The sequence below is a fragment of the Homo sapiens genome, chromosome 18 (assembly GCF_000001405.40).
Source record: "Homo sapiens chromosome 18, GRCh38.p14 Primary Assembly".
In the NCBI taxonomy this organism is placed as follows: Eukaryota; Metazoa; Chordata; class Mammalia; order Primates; family Hominidae; genus Homo; species Homo sapiens.
In genome coordinates, this window is record NC_000018.10 from 12,029,825 (window position 1) to 12,042,418 (window position 12,594).

Sequence of the window (12,594 nt, forward strand, 5' to 3'; positions counted from 1 at the left end):
TTCATATCCCTCAGGAAGATGCAAGGCTTTATCATCTTGCCCGAGCTTCTTCGAGTGTGGGTCCCGCAGCAGCGGTGCACCCCCAGGAGCTTGTGGGCAGGTAGCCTCAGCCCCACCCAGACCTGTTGAGGCAGAGCCTTGGTTTCACAAGCCCCTGGCTGACCCCTGTGCACAGTCAAGCTTGAGAAGGGCAGCTCCCCTGTTCGGGTCTAGCCCATTGCTTGCATTTCTTAGGACTTTTATGTTCTCCATCTCTTAAGGCAGTGGCAGCTTCAGAGCCGCACTCTGTTCTGTGCAGCCCTTGACTGCATTCACACTGGGGTGGGGCGGGAGAGGCTCCATCCCTCTATTCTTTGCCGAATTCACTCCTAGACCACCTGTTTAATACGAGTGTTGGGGCTTGGGCACGGTTCCATGTGCCATTTCCTGTGCTGTGTGCATGTGGGATAAGTTGTTACACAACATTGTTCAGCCCTCTCTGGTAACCCGGATGCCTGGCTCTCTCTGTCTGTCCCCAGGTGGACCCCTCGACCTCATGGCTTGCAGAGTGGTTGCGGCCAGCACCCGGGAGATGGCGATGCTCATAGCTCAGGCCTTACAGACGATTAACTATGGGCGGGATGATGAGAAGTGACTGCGGCTGAGGCAAAGCTGCTCCCAAGGCCTCCCTGGGCTGCTGTGGGCTCCTGGGGAGGTGGCCCTCGTGGCCCACGCTCCATGCCAGTGGCTCACGCTCTGCTCCTGGCTACCCCAGAGGGAGTTGTCACGCTACAGTGAGTGGCTGGCCTTTTAAATCGACGTCTCTCTCACCAGGATTTGGTGTTTAGCTGTTTCTCTCTTTAATCTCACGTAGCCTTTTTCAGGTTAGTACGTGTTCTTCTGTCAGGGCCAAAACTCAAATCTCCTGTGAAATACGTATTGATAATCCAATCTTGATTTTTCCCCCCAGAATATAAATCTCAGGTAATAAGGCTTTAGAACTGCTGATAAAGCGGATCGTTCTCAGGCCCTCCCCCCGGAGTACTTCAGAATGCAATAAATCAAAATAATGGCCCTGTGTGTATCTGTTTCCTCTATAAGCATGTCGCCTGATTCCCAAACAACTCTGTGGCTCTCATCCACTGCTGTGGATCTATGCTCTCAGGAAGCTTTGCGAATGAAACCCAAAGTCCATGCGAATGAAACCCAAAGTCCATGCGAATGAAACCCAAAGTCCAGTGTGTGCCAGCTGCTGCCTCTGATGAATACCCTGAAGGCGACCCCAGTAATATCATGTGAGTGTTCAGAAGCCAAGACATGGGACAGACAGAAGGAAACTAATCTCTGAAAGCTGTTGTTTCTGTGATCAGCTTTTTTGTTTTTGTTTGAGTTGGGGTCTTGCTCTGTCTCCCAGCCTGGAGTGCAGTGGTGTGATCACAGCTCACTGTAGCCTTGACCTCAGGACTCAAGTGATCTTCCTGCCTTAGCCTTCTGAGTTGGGACCACAGGCATGCACTAGCATGCCAGGCTAATTTTTAAAAATTTTTTGGTAGAGATGGGGTCTCACTGTGTTGCCCAGGCTGGTCTCAAACTCCTGGACTCAAGTGATCCTCTCACCTCAGCCTTCCAAAGTGCTGGGATTGAATCACCACACCTGGCCAATCTGTGATCAGTTTAAAGAGGAGAAACTGGGCCTTACTTGTTTCTCTTTAGGAGGCGGAATGGTATGTAAGAATAATTCTAATGAGGCTATTAACTGGCTGGCCAGACATCTTTCCTGAAGTTTAAGAATGAGAAAGTCTTGGCTGGGTGCGGTGGCTCATGCCTGTAATTCCAGCACTTTGGGGAGCCGAGGCAGGTGGATCACTTGAGGCCAGGAGTTTGAGACCAGCCTGGACAACATAATGAAACCCTATCTCTACTAAAAATACAAAAATTAGCTGGGTATGGTGGCGCATGCCTGTAATTCCAGCTACTTGTGAGGCTGAGGCCCGAGAATCATTTGAACCCGGGAGGTGGAGGTTGCAGTGAGCTGAGATCGCACCCCTGCACTCCAGCCTGGGCGACAGGAGACTCTGTCTCAAAAAAAAAAAGAAGAAAGATTAACTGAATTTAAAAAATAACATATTCCCAGAGGTTCACTGTAGGGTGAGCACTGTGTCCTGCCACGTTTGGAATCGTTTTGTCTTTGAAGAAGTGGAGCCTCTCCCAGGGCTGGCTCGGTGCCCTTGTCTTTCCAGCAACAGCGTTAGTTATAGTCATCTTTGAGACTGGCTTTTCTTTCATCTCTGGAGAGAGCTTGATTCGTCATCTTATTGCTTTGTCTGAACTAATTTTGTTTAGTAGAGCTTTTCAATAAATAGTTTGGATTTTTTAAATGAGTTTAAAATATGCTCATGTTTCTCCAAATTGCTGATTATTCCTTTAGGCCTTCGTTAGCCCATCTTAATTTTCTCAGAATCTACTCAAAACAGATCTGAGTATTTATACAGATGTGCAAGAAATTTCTTACATTCTCATGGATTTTGAGATGTAGTGCTTATTAGTCAAATAATATCTGGAAGTTTTCTTCAACAAAATAACTCTCGCAGCACGTTGAGAGGCTGAGGCAGGATTGAGGCCAGGCATTCCAGATCAGCCTGGGCAGCATAGCAAGACCCCATCTCTACAAAAAAAAACCCAAAACTAGATGGATGTGGTGCACAGCTACTTGGAAGGTTGAAGTGGGAGGATCCTTTGAGCCCAGGAGTTTGAGGTTACAGTGAGCTATGATTGCACCACTGCATTTCCAGCCTAAGCCACAGAATGAGACCCTGTCTCTATAATAAAAGTTTTTAATTAGCCAGGTGTGGTGGTGCGTGCCTGTAGTCCTAGCTGCTTGGGAGGCTCAGGCAGGAGGATGGCTGGAACCCAGGAGGTCGAGGCTGCAGTGAGCCATTATTGTTCCACTGCACTCCAGCCTGGGTGACAGAGCGAGACCCTGTCTCAACAAACAAAACAAACAAAAAAACAAAAAGAAAGAACTGCTCCCCTCCCCAACCTCAGGAAAGGCCCTCCCAGCCCTTGGGTCAGGACAGCAGGAGGCCCTGAGGGAGCTTGAGCTGACTCCTGCTTCTGCTTCTGCTTCTGCTCTGTCCGGAGTCTCAGGCTGCCTTTAGCAAGTATTCCGCATGAGCGTCATCCCTGCGGCTTCAGGAGAAGCAGAGTGAACCTTGGAGAAAAGAGAGGCACCCAAGGTGGGGACCTGCGGGCTTGCCTCATTCATCCCTGGACAAGCCTCCCAGAAACGAAATGGGCTGCTCACCTCTGTGATCCTCAGAGTTAGCAAAACTGCTTGCTATGTCATTTAGACCTCTTACAAAATGATATTCATCTATCACTGGTGATGACATTCATTCTGAATTCCACTCATAGGCTTCAGGATACTTGCCCTCATTTTTTTTTCCCTTCATTTCAACAGTTTTCACTGAGTGTCTTGTGGACATGAGTCATCAAATGTTTTGCTGCCTTTATGATCCAATCCCAAATAAAAAGTAAAACATTTGTCCTAGTGCATCACTGTCACCACTCAGACCAGGAGTCAGGACGCGGATTGATGTTCAGGTAGCTGTGTGGCCTTGAGAGGGCCATGTCAGCTCTCTTTTGGTGCCAGGTGAAGTCTGTACTGGGGGTCTGGCTGCCTCCCTCACAGGGTTGGGAGCATGTCCCAGGACGACACCTAGGAGAGTACCATGAAACCAGAGAATGACGGAGGCAGTCTCAGTCAGCGTTGAGATTTATTTTGCCAAGATTGAGGATGTGCCTGGGAAAAGGACACAAGCCACTGTAGGATCTGTGGTCTGCACTTTTTTCCAAAAAGGATTTTGGGCGCTTCAGTATTTAAAGAGGAAAGAAAACAAAAGAGGGTATGGTCTCATCCTTGATTAGAGCTCGTTAATCCACATACTGCAGGCAAGGAGGGGGAAGCGGAACAGTGGGTTACATGGGGGAGACGGTATTTTTCCTCTCCTCTCATCCCTCACCGGGAAGATATGCTGTTAATTTACATCGTCTGGGTGAGAGAGGCCACCTGGGAAGACACTGCCTTCTATCTCTAGCCATTCTGTTGAGGAACAAAAGGAAGGTCGGTGTTCCTCCTGACTCAGCTTCCAAGCTTACCTTTTCCCTTGGGCATAGTGAGTTTGGGGGTCTCCAGATTTTACTTTCCATACACATCAACTGTGGTTGGTTTTTTGTTGTTTTTGTTTTTTACAGTTAAATATATTATTAAAGCATGAAAAGATCATGATGTCTCCAATAACCAAATGTTATTCAAGAAAACTAGAAATATTTAGATTATACCACAGCTTAGACAGGCTTTGCCTGATTTATTAAGCCATTTACAATCAGTTCTATCATCCATACCCAGGACTTCCGGGCTGGAAAAATACATCCTATAGCTTTCCCAGTAGGAACCACATTCATCATTGCTTTTTTCTGTGGAGGCAATGTATAAATAGAGCAGCTTTTTGAAAACATAAGCAGAGGCCCAAATCAGTGGCCTAAAACTTGGATGATCTGGGGAGGCACCAGGCCATCTGAACCAGCGCTTTGTCCCCAGCAGATGTTGGGACATGCAGGGGCTATGCATGTCAGCACAGGGGGCCACTCAGCAGCCGGGTAAACTTGAGGTACTGGCCTAGCCTCTCTGTGCCCCTCTGTAAAATGAATTAAACTGCACTCCTCCCAGGACTGTGTGGATCAAATGAAATAGTGCATGCACGTGACCACATCAAACAGATGGACAAGAAGAGCAGAAAGACTGCAGGAGCCAGGACAGAGGACCCAGAGTCAAGGGCTTCTCACCCCAACTGCTTCTTGCCTCTTTCTCTGCCCTGGACTTCCTTTCCCAGTTTCAGCCCCACAAATTGCTTCCTCTTTGTGTGAGTGAAGGCTTCAGGGTGGAGTGAAGCTAGTCACTTGTAGAGGCCCCTGTAGAGGAAGATGAAGATGAGAAGTCCATGTAGATGGCATCACCGAGTGCCAGGACTGGATGCCCCAAACACCACAAGCCATGTCGCATCCTGGGGGTCGCCTGGGCAGGCCTCTCTACCATTTAGTCACTGCAGTCAGCTACAGCCCACAGCAGATCTAAAACAAAAGCACCTGTAATCTCAGCATATTGGGAGGCTGAGGCGAGCAGATCACCTCAGGTCTGGAGTTCAAGACCAGCCTGGCCAACATGGTGAAACCCTGTCTCTACTAAAAATACAAAAACTAGCCAGGCATGGTGTCGTGCACCTGTAATCCCAGCTAGTTACATGGCTGAGGTGGGAGACTCGTTTGAACCCAGGAGGCAGGGGTTGCACTGAACCAAGATTGCATCACTGCCCTCCAGCCTGGGTGATAGAGTGAGACCCTGTCTCAGAAAAAAACAACAAAAAACCCCACAAAAGCAGTGAGTGTGGGATGGGTGACGCAGATGGAAGATGAAGACGTAGGGGACAAAAGCAAGGGGCTATTGCAAAGGATCTGGAACTGCAGCTTCAAAGCCAGGAGTGCAGAGCCCGTGGGGCAGGGCCACCATCACTAAACTGGAATGGAGAGGCCAAAATCTGAACCTGAAGTTGGAAGAAGAGGGGAACAACACCGCTGGCCTCTGGGAATGGGAAGATCCTAAGGGGTGACTCCAGTGCCCAAGTTCCTATGCAAGAAGTAGCCACACAACTTCCCAGAGTGTGGCATCTCACAAGGAGCAGAGGTTTCAGTTTGTCACTAGTCACATGTCCCGTCTTACCAGATGCATAGGTAAACAGGAGCCCTGACCTCCAGGAACCCCCTGGACTCTGCAGGCTCACAGTGCCCGCGTGACAGCACCGAGCAGGCCAGCTGGAGATGTGAGGGGGGTGGGGAAAAGGATCTGGAGCAGGATGTTCAGGTAGAGGCAGAGAGAAATGGCTAGGGCTGCAGTGGGATAAACACGTGGTTCTGCTTGGCTGCAGGAGGCATCTTGTTGCTTGGAGGGTTGGGGAGGTGATGCTTAAACACATAGGCCAACTCGGGGCCTTGGGCACCATGTGGAGCAGTCCAAACTTTGTGCTGGAAACACGGGGAGGATACTTGTGATACTGCGTGTGTCAGTCCTTCTACTGGAGAGCTGGTTCTAACCATCATCAAGTGAGAGGAGAGGAAGCCCTCAGGTGGCAGGTGTATCTCTATTCGGTGAGAATGTCATGGTTGTCAGTCATGCTATAGGGTTGCCCTCCAGTAGAATGATCTGATATGTCTATGCAGAAAGTAATTTGGAGGGTTTTGACAGTGTCTCCTGTGGGCTTCTCGGACTGAATAATGGAATCTCAGAAGGGGATGTCCCTTAGCAATCACCTGTTCCAACCTTCTGACCTCCAGGTCTCACCAGTCACTAGTTTTGTGGTAGATTGCAGGCATGTCTGGTGCGTCCAACACTAGAAAAGTCACGGCATTGGACAGGGAATCCCCTGCCAACCTTGGGGGAAGGAGCTGGCGTGTAGGGCCAAGAGTTGCTCAGGTTGGATGGTGTGCCACCTCATAGCCCTTGCCCAGATCCAGACAGCTGGCAATCCTCCATTTCCTGCCCCTGCCCGAGGATGGCCTCAGTCCTCATACCTGTGCCGGCTGAGAGTGTCACATCCACCATCTGGACCACGTTCCCCAAAAACCATCTCAGTAAGGGTCAGAATGGCCTGCAACTGCTGCCAACTGGAAGTTTCCATGCTGTGAAGTCATTAATTATCCACCTATAAGTCTGGAATGCCATCAGGTGGTTCCAAGGTCTCCGCCTTTGACAGGGTGGTGGCTCCCAGCCACTCCCATGCATCAGGCCTGCCTGTGCACGGAGGGCCAAGTCTGTTGGGCCCCTTGGCTTGGAGAAGAGTTTCACTGAGATATTAGTAACTGTGAGTCACCACACGCAGCAGTTGTGCAGGTGTCAGGCTAAAAAGAAGCTCAGATAGGACCCAGAACAAATGGGCTCACTTGGGACTAGGCAAGGGATTATAGTTCAGGATGTGTGTGCTATAATGATGGATCAGGGCATATCCAGGGATGTCGTGGCAAAGATAAATTTTTATTTTTATTTTTTTTTGAGATGGAGTCTCGCTCTGCTCTTGGCTCAATACAACCTCTGCCTTCTGGGTTAAAGTGGGTCTTCTGCCTCGGCCTCCCGAGTAGCTGGGATTGCAGGCACTCGCCACCATACCCGGCTAATTTTTGTATTTTTAGTAGAGATGGGGTTTCGCCACGTTGGTCAGGCTGGTTTCGAACTCCTGACCTCAAGCGATCTGCCTGCCTTGGCCTCCCAAAGTGCTGGGATTACAGGCATGAGCCACTGCACCTAGCCAAAGAGGAATCTTTTAAAGACAAACAGATGTACACATGAGCGGCTTTGAAACAAGGCTCGTAGGTGACAGAAGCTCACTGCAGGAGTTGGCTCTGTTGATTGGGGGAGGCGGCTGTTGCCAGGTCAGTGTTGCGTGCTGGTGGCAGATCTGGAATACTGCGGCCTCAAGAAGTCCTTGCACTAAGTCGTGATGCTGGTCTGGGTGCAGGAAAGTCTTGGGATAAGTCCTGTTTCAGGCATGTGGGCGTGAGGGCTTCTTGATGGCCTCCCACCACTCCATTTTGCTGGAGTTTAATGTAAGTGACTCCATTTTGGTACCAGCAGCTTTCTCAAAGGTTTTGGGGTTTTTTTGCTTTTGGGTTTCAACAACAGGAATTGAATCAAAGCACTTAACATGTGTTACTATTAAGATATGTCTCTGTTTTCACATTCTATAGAGTTAGTTTTTGTGTTTTTTTTTTTCACTTTGTAAAAGAAGGGAATATATATTTAGGTTTGATATCTCCAGATTTTAGGCCGGGTGAGGTGGCTCATGCTTGTAATCCCAGCACTTTGGGAGGCCAAGGCAGGTGGATCACCTGAGGTCAGGAGTTTGAGACCAGCCTGACCAACATGGTGAAGCCCCGTCTCTACTAAAAATGCAAAAATATTAGCCGGGCATGGTGGCCCACGCGTGTAATACCAACTGCTTGGGAGGCTGAGGCAGGAGAATCGCTTGAACCTGGGAGGCGCAGGTTGCAGTGAGTCGAGATCACACCACTGCACTCCAGCCTGGGCAACAAGAGTGAAACTCCGTCTCAAAAAAGATATCTCCAGATTTTAATAAAATCAATATTCGTATGCAAAAGTTTAACAATGTTTCCCTTTTTGCATTATTTGAACTAAATGCAGTTGGCCTTCTACCTGTTCTCCTGGCAGAAGGCGAAGGTGGAATGTCCCAGCTGCCTACTAGGCAATAGTGCCTATGGCGAAAACAGCTCCTGGCTGGCAGGGGGAAGCTGATTTGGGAGGCGCCATCACTAAGTAATGGAAGAGAGCTATGCTATGGGTGTGGTGATTCCTGCTAGGGGCACCCTGGGGCTCCTGGAGAGACTGGTTTCTGCAGGGAATGAGCTTCCAGGCCAGGCGGCCTCCACACGTGGAGATGTGAGTGGGCTCTGTCCTCCCTCGCAGCCGGCTGTGTGGACTCTGTAAGGGCTCCTGAGGAAGAGGAATCCGGGGGACCGGTTCCTGTCCTGCAGCCTCAGGGTGGGCCGCTGCCAGGCGCGTCCCTGCACGCGTAGAAGGAAGGCGCTTTCAGACGCGAGGGCGGCTTCGTCATCTCCTCCCGGTGGGTGCGTGCTGCCAGCGCGGCCTTTAGATGCTTTGGGCTCCGACTCTGTCTCCCTCTTCTTCAAATCATGAGGGCACTCGGGCACCCCGGTGTGAGAGGCAGGTGGTCCCAGAGTCCGTGTCACCTGGGTCACATCTCCAAGGCCCCAGGCCGCCCCCGGGCGGCCCGCCCCCAGTCCCCGCAGCCCGGAGCAGGATGGGCCCGGGCTGGACTGAGGGGCTGGGGCGCCCGTCTGCCCTGATGGGCGCAGCTGTCTGGGACCACGCGGTGCCCCGGGTCGGCCCCCAGCGTCGCCATCACCTCCCCCAAGACGTCCCCACGCGGCGGCCACACTGCGCTCCAACGACCCGCGCTCTCGGACCCGGTCACACTGACGGCGGTGACTCCCGAGTTCCCGGGACCAAGCGGGCCCGCCCTGGGAGCCTGAGCTTTCTCCTCACTCTCAGGGAGCCCTGGGCTGCGAGGCGACAGCACAACGGGAACAGACTCGCCGGGACCAGCCACCACTTGGGGTTGTCTCTGCAACCCACGCTCCGCGCCGCCCTGACCCGGTACCGGCCCGCGCGGCGGTATAGGCGGGCGCTGGGTGCTGGTCGCTGGGCGCGGAGGCTTTCTTTGCCAAGGGCAGCGCGCCCCCTGCTGTCCGAGCGGAAGAACTGCGCAGCACGCGAGGCCGCAGACGCCCTCTGGTCAGGGCCCTGCAGAATGGCTTGGGCTTGGGACTCGTCCTGCGCCCTTGGGCGAGGCCATTTGTCCCTGGGTCGGGAGGAGCTTAACCGTGGGGCTCGGCTGTATCCGCGAATGGCAGGGGCACAGGACAGCGGGGACTGTGACGGAACACATGCCGTTATTCCATGCGTTGTGCCGTGCTGTGAGTGCATAACCAAAAAATACCAACTCAGTCCATGGCTAAAGTAAGGATATGCAATAAAAATTTAAGCCTGATGAGAAAAAAAGTGAGAAAACTAGTTCACCCAGAGTTTAATCAAGTTTTTGACAAGAGGGTGTTGTTTTTGTTTTTTAAATTGAAACAGGATTTGGGGGCTGAGTTATTGCATGCAGCAGGGTTAAACAAATTTACATTTTATCAAAATAAAAAGATGCTTAAAGAATACATTGATAGGCCGGCACGTTGGCTCACACTTGTAATCCCAACACTTTGGGAGGCCGAGGCAGGCGAATCACCTGAGGTCAGGAGTTCAAGACCAGGCTGGCCAACATAGTGAAACCCCATCTCTACTGCAAATACAAAAATTAGCCAGGTGTGGTGGCAGACGCCTGTAGTCCCAGCTACTCAGGAGCATGAGTCAGGAGAGCCTCTTGAACCCAGGAGGCCAAGGCTGCAGGAGCTGAGATTGCGCCATTGGACTCCAGCCTGGGTGACAAGAGCAAAACTCCATCTCAAAAAACAAACACACAAAAAACAATGATAGCATATATTTTATCTCTTGTAGTACAAATCCTCATATTGACTGTTGCAGAAAAATACCTGTAATGCCTTAAACAACAGTTTTAAGAAACATCAATGACCAGCAAGTTACAAACAAAATGCAGTGATCAACATATTTAACTGTCCATGTATGAAGCTTTTACAAACACATTCAGTCTTCACTGTCTGAGCAAATCAGTTTTAATTTCTTCATAGTCCTTCATCTGTCTTTTCACATGACACTTGGCCAGTGGTGAATTTATAATGTAACAGTATTTTAGACCAGTTTCCCTCTCCATACTTCCTCATGCTAGATCTCAAATTCATGTCTTCTTCCCAAAGCCATGCCTGTTTTTTTTTTTCTTTTTTTTTTTTCTGGATAGATGTTTTTCAGCAGTCACTGGTTGACTTTGAGGTACTCTCTTGTTTTCTGTGGCTCTTCTGATTTGACAAGAGGTTGTTTTTGTCTTTGTATGGCTACAACAGTAACTTTGGGAAACCATTTAATCAGGTTTGGCTAAGTATAAGATGGAATCTGAGTTATGCTTCCGGACACTGACGTGTGCAATTTTGTGTTGGTAACAAGTATTGCCAATTAAATAAATATTTGAAGAACGGAGCCATGGCTTTATTTTCAAAATCTTCCCAGAACACTCAGAAAAATCTTATTTAACTCGACTGAACATGCCAATCATCATTTATTTAATATGTCCCAACTACATCAGTTACTAGCTATGAGAGAGACCTTGGACAGGATTTTTACATTATCTGTGCCTCAGTGGCATCATCAGTGAAATAAAGATAATCATGGTACCTATTCATAGGTTAAGGATTAAGTGAGAGATATATTGCTGGTGAGGAAAAATGTTTCCTCCACCCTCTTAGGTTCAGTTAATGGGGACCTGCAAATTACACTGAAAATAAAGATTAATAAGAGAAAAAGTATACAATTTTTGTTAATGTTTATGTGCATAGGAATTCACAGAAAAGAAGTGGAACTCAAAGAAGCAGCGAGACTCAGGGGCTGATAACTTTAACAAAGAAAAGAGGATTTGACCTTGAGGGAGGACAAGGCACTGGGAAGTGACTGGGGAGTATTTGGGGAAGGTGATGGAAGACAAGGCTATTTCAGAAAGGCTTGTTTATGTGGACTCATCTTGGTGCTAACTCCGGTGATAAGAGCCACTCTATTCTTGGTGGGGGCGAGGGGGACACCTTCACAGGGTACTTTATGCCACCTTCACAAGAAGGCATTTATGATCTGATTTCAGGCAGAAAAGGAGAAGACAGAGAACTCTTTCAGCACCTGTGGATCCTCCATTACCTTCAGCTCAAAATAATCCTTATGCCACAATGGCATATTGTGGAGTGGCATCATTTAGGCCCTTCATTTCCCTGTCTGAAACTTCTCTATGATGTGTCACATTCCAGAAGCGAAGTTATTTGATTGTTCCCATTAAACCAGTCTCTCTGCCCTGGGAATATCTCAGTCCAGTTAAACAGCTGTGTCTCATTTCAGGAGGTGGTGGTGCAGGTGGGGGTGGGGCACCCCCAAAGGTGGGTCTTTATGTGTGCAAGCAATCAGGCATTGAATGAGGGCATTTCTATGGATACAAAAGAAATACAAAGATTAACCATCGGTGCTGACTATAGATCCTGTTTCTAAGTTCAGAGGGCCATTAGTTCAGATTTCTAGATATTGGTCTCCAAGGATCCTTACATAGCGGAATGAGGATGGCAGTTACAGCATCGCAGTCCTGTTATTTCCTGGCGCTTGGAGGATTGTGCTCTGGTGAACTTTCTGAGTCACCCAAACTGCTGTGGTGATGATTCTGTTAAAGTTACACTGAGTGATTCAGCTTCAGGTTTCAGGGTTTCTGGAAAAGGGCAGTTTTAGTTCTCAGTGATGCCAAATTAGGACAGGGGAGAATACTGGAAACACTCATTACTGACAACATGCACAAGACGGCCAGATCCAGTTTACAAAGAGGTGAAAATAACTCAAAGACAGTAAACATGACAAGTATTTGATAACCCACCAGGATGGGTTGTAGTTTTCCACTGAAACAAAATTTCTCTCTAGAATCACCTCCATTTTTATCAAAGATAATCAAGACAGGCATGATGGCTCATACCTATAATCCCAGCACTTTGGGAGGCTGAGGCAGGAGGATTGCTTGAGCCCAGTAGTTTGAGACCAGCCTGGGCAACATAGCGAGACCCCATATCTACAAAAAAATAGAAAATCTAGCCAGGTGTGGTGGCATGTGCCTGCAGTTCCAGCTACTCAGGAGGCTGAGATGGGAAGATTGAGACTTGGGAGGTTGAGGCGATCTTTGTGTTTTTTTTTTTCTTTTGAGATGAGTCTCGCTGTGTCACTCAGGCAACAATATAGTGGTGATCAAAACTCACTGCAGCTATGTTGAGAGTCCCCACCCCAACATAATGCACTGCTCCTTCTGTGCACCCAGCACTCGGCTGTGTTTCTACAGCATG

At 49.1% G+C, this 12,594-nt stretch overlaps 1 protein-coding gene across 2 annotated transcripts in view, besides 4 other annotated features; it reads left to right on the forward strand.

Annotated features, from left to right (window-relative positions):
* The window catches only part of IMPA2 (inositol monophosphatase 2), a 49,371-nt gene extending 48,318 nt beyond the window's left edge, over nucleotides 1-1,053 (forward strand). For both annotated transcript variants that reach the window (NM_014214.3, XM_011525659.4), the window contains one exon: nucleotides 519-1,053. In NM_014214.3, coding sequence (NP_055029.1) covers nucleotides 519-634 — 116 coding nt within the window. In that variant the 3' untranslated portion in view covers nucleotides 635-1,053. The remainder of the gene's footprint in view (nucleotides 1-518) is intronic.
* Nucleotides 8,374-8,875: an enhancer, noted in NCBI's record as "H3K4me1 hESC enhancer chr18:12038197-12038698 (GRCh37/hg19 assembly coordinates)". NCBI's record gives its function as "activates a minimal SCP1, AML or CMV promoter by ChIP-STARR-seq in primed H9 embryonic stem cells {active_cell/tissue: H9 hESC(primed)}" and the evidence as "EXISTENCE:reporter gene assay evidence [ECO:0000049][PMID:30033119]".
* Nucleotides 8,374-8,892: a biological region, named in NCBI's record as "H3K4me1 hESC enhancer GRCh37_chr18:12038197-12038698".
* Nucleotides 8,823-8,892: a silencer, noted in NCBI's record as "silent region_9303". NCBI's record gives its function as "represses an Ori minimal core promoter by ATAC-STARR-seq in GM12878 lymphoblastoid cells {active_cell/tissue: GM12878}" and the evidence as "EXISTENCE:reporter gene assay evidence [ECO:0000049][PMID:35858748]".
* Nucleotides 9,273-9,342: a silencer, noted in NCBI's record as "silent region_9304". NCBI's record gives its function as "represses an Ori minimal core promoter by ATAC-STARR-seq in GM12878 lymphoblastoid cells {active_cell/tissue: GM12878}" and the evidence as "EXISTENCE:reporter gene assay evidence [ECO:0000049][PMID:35858748]".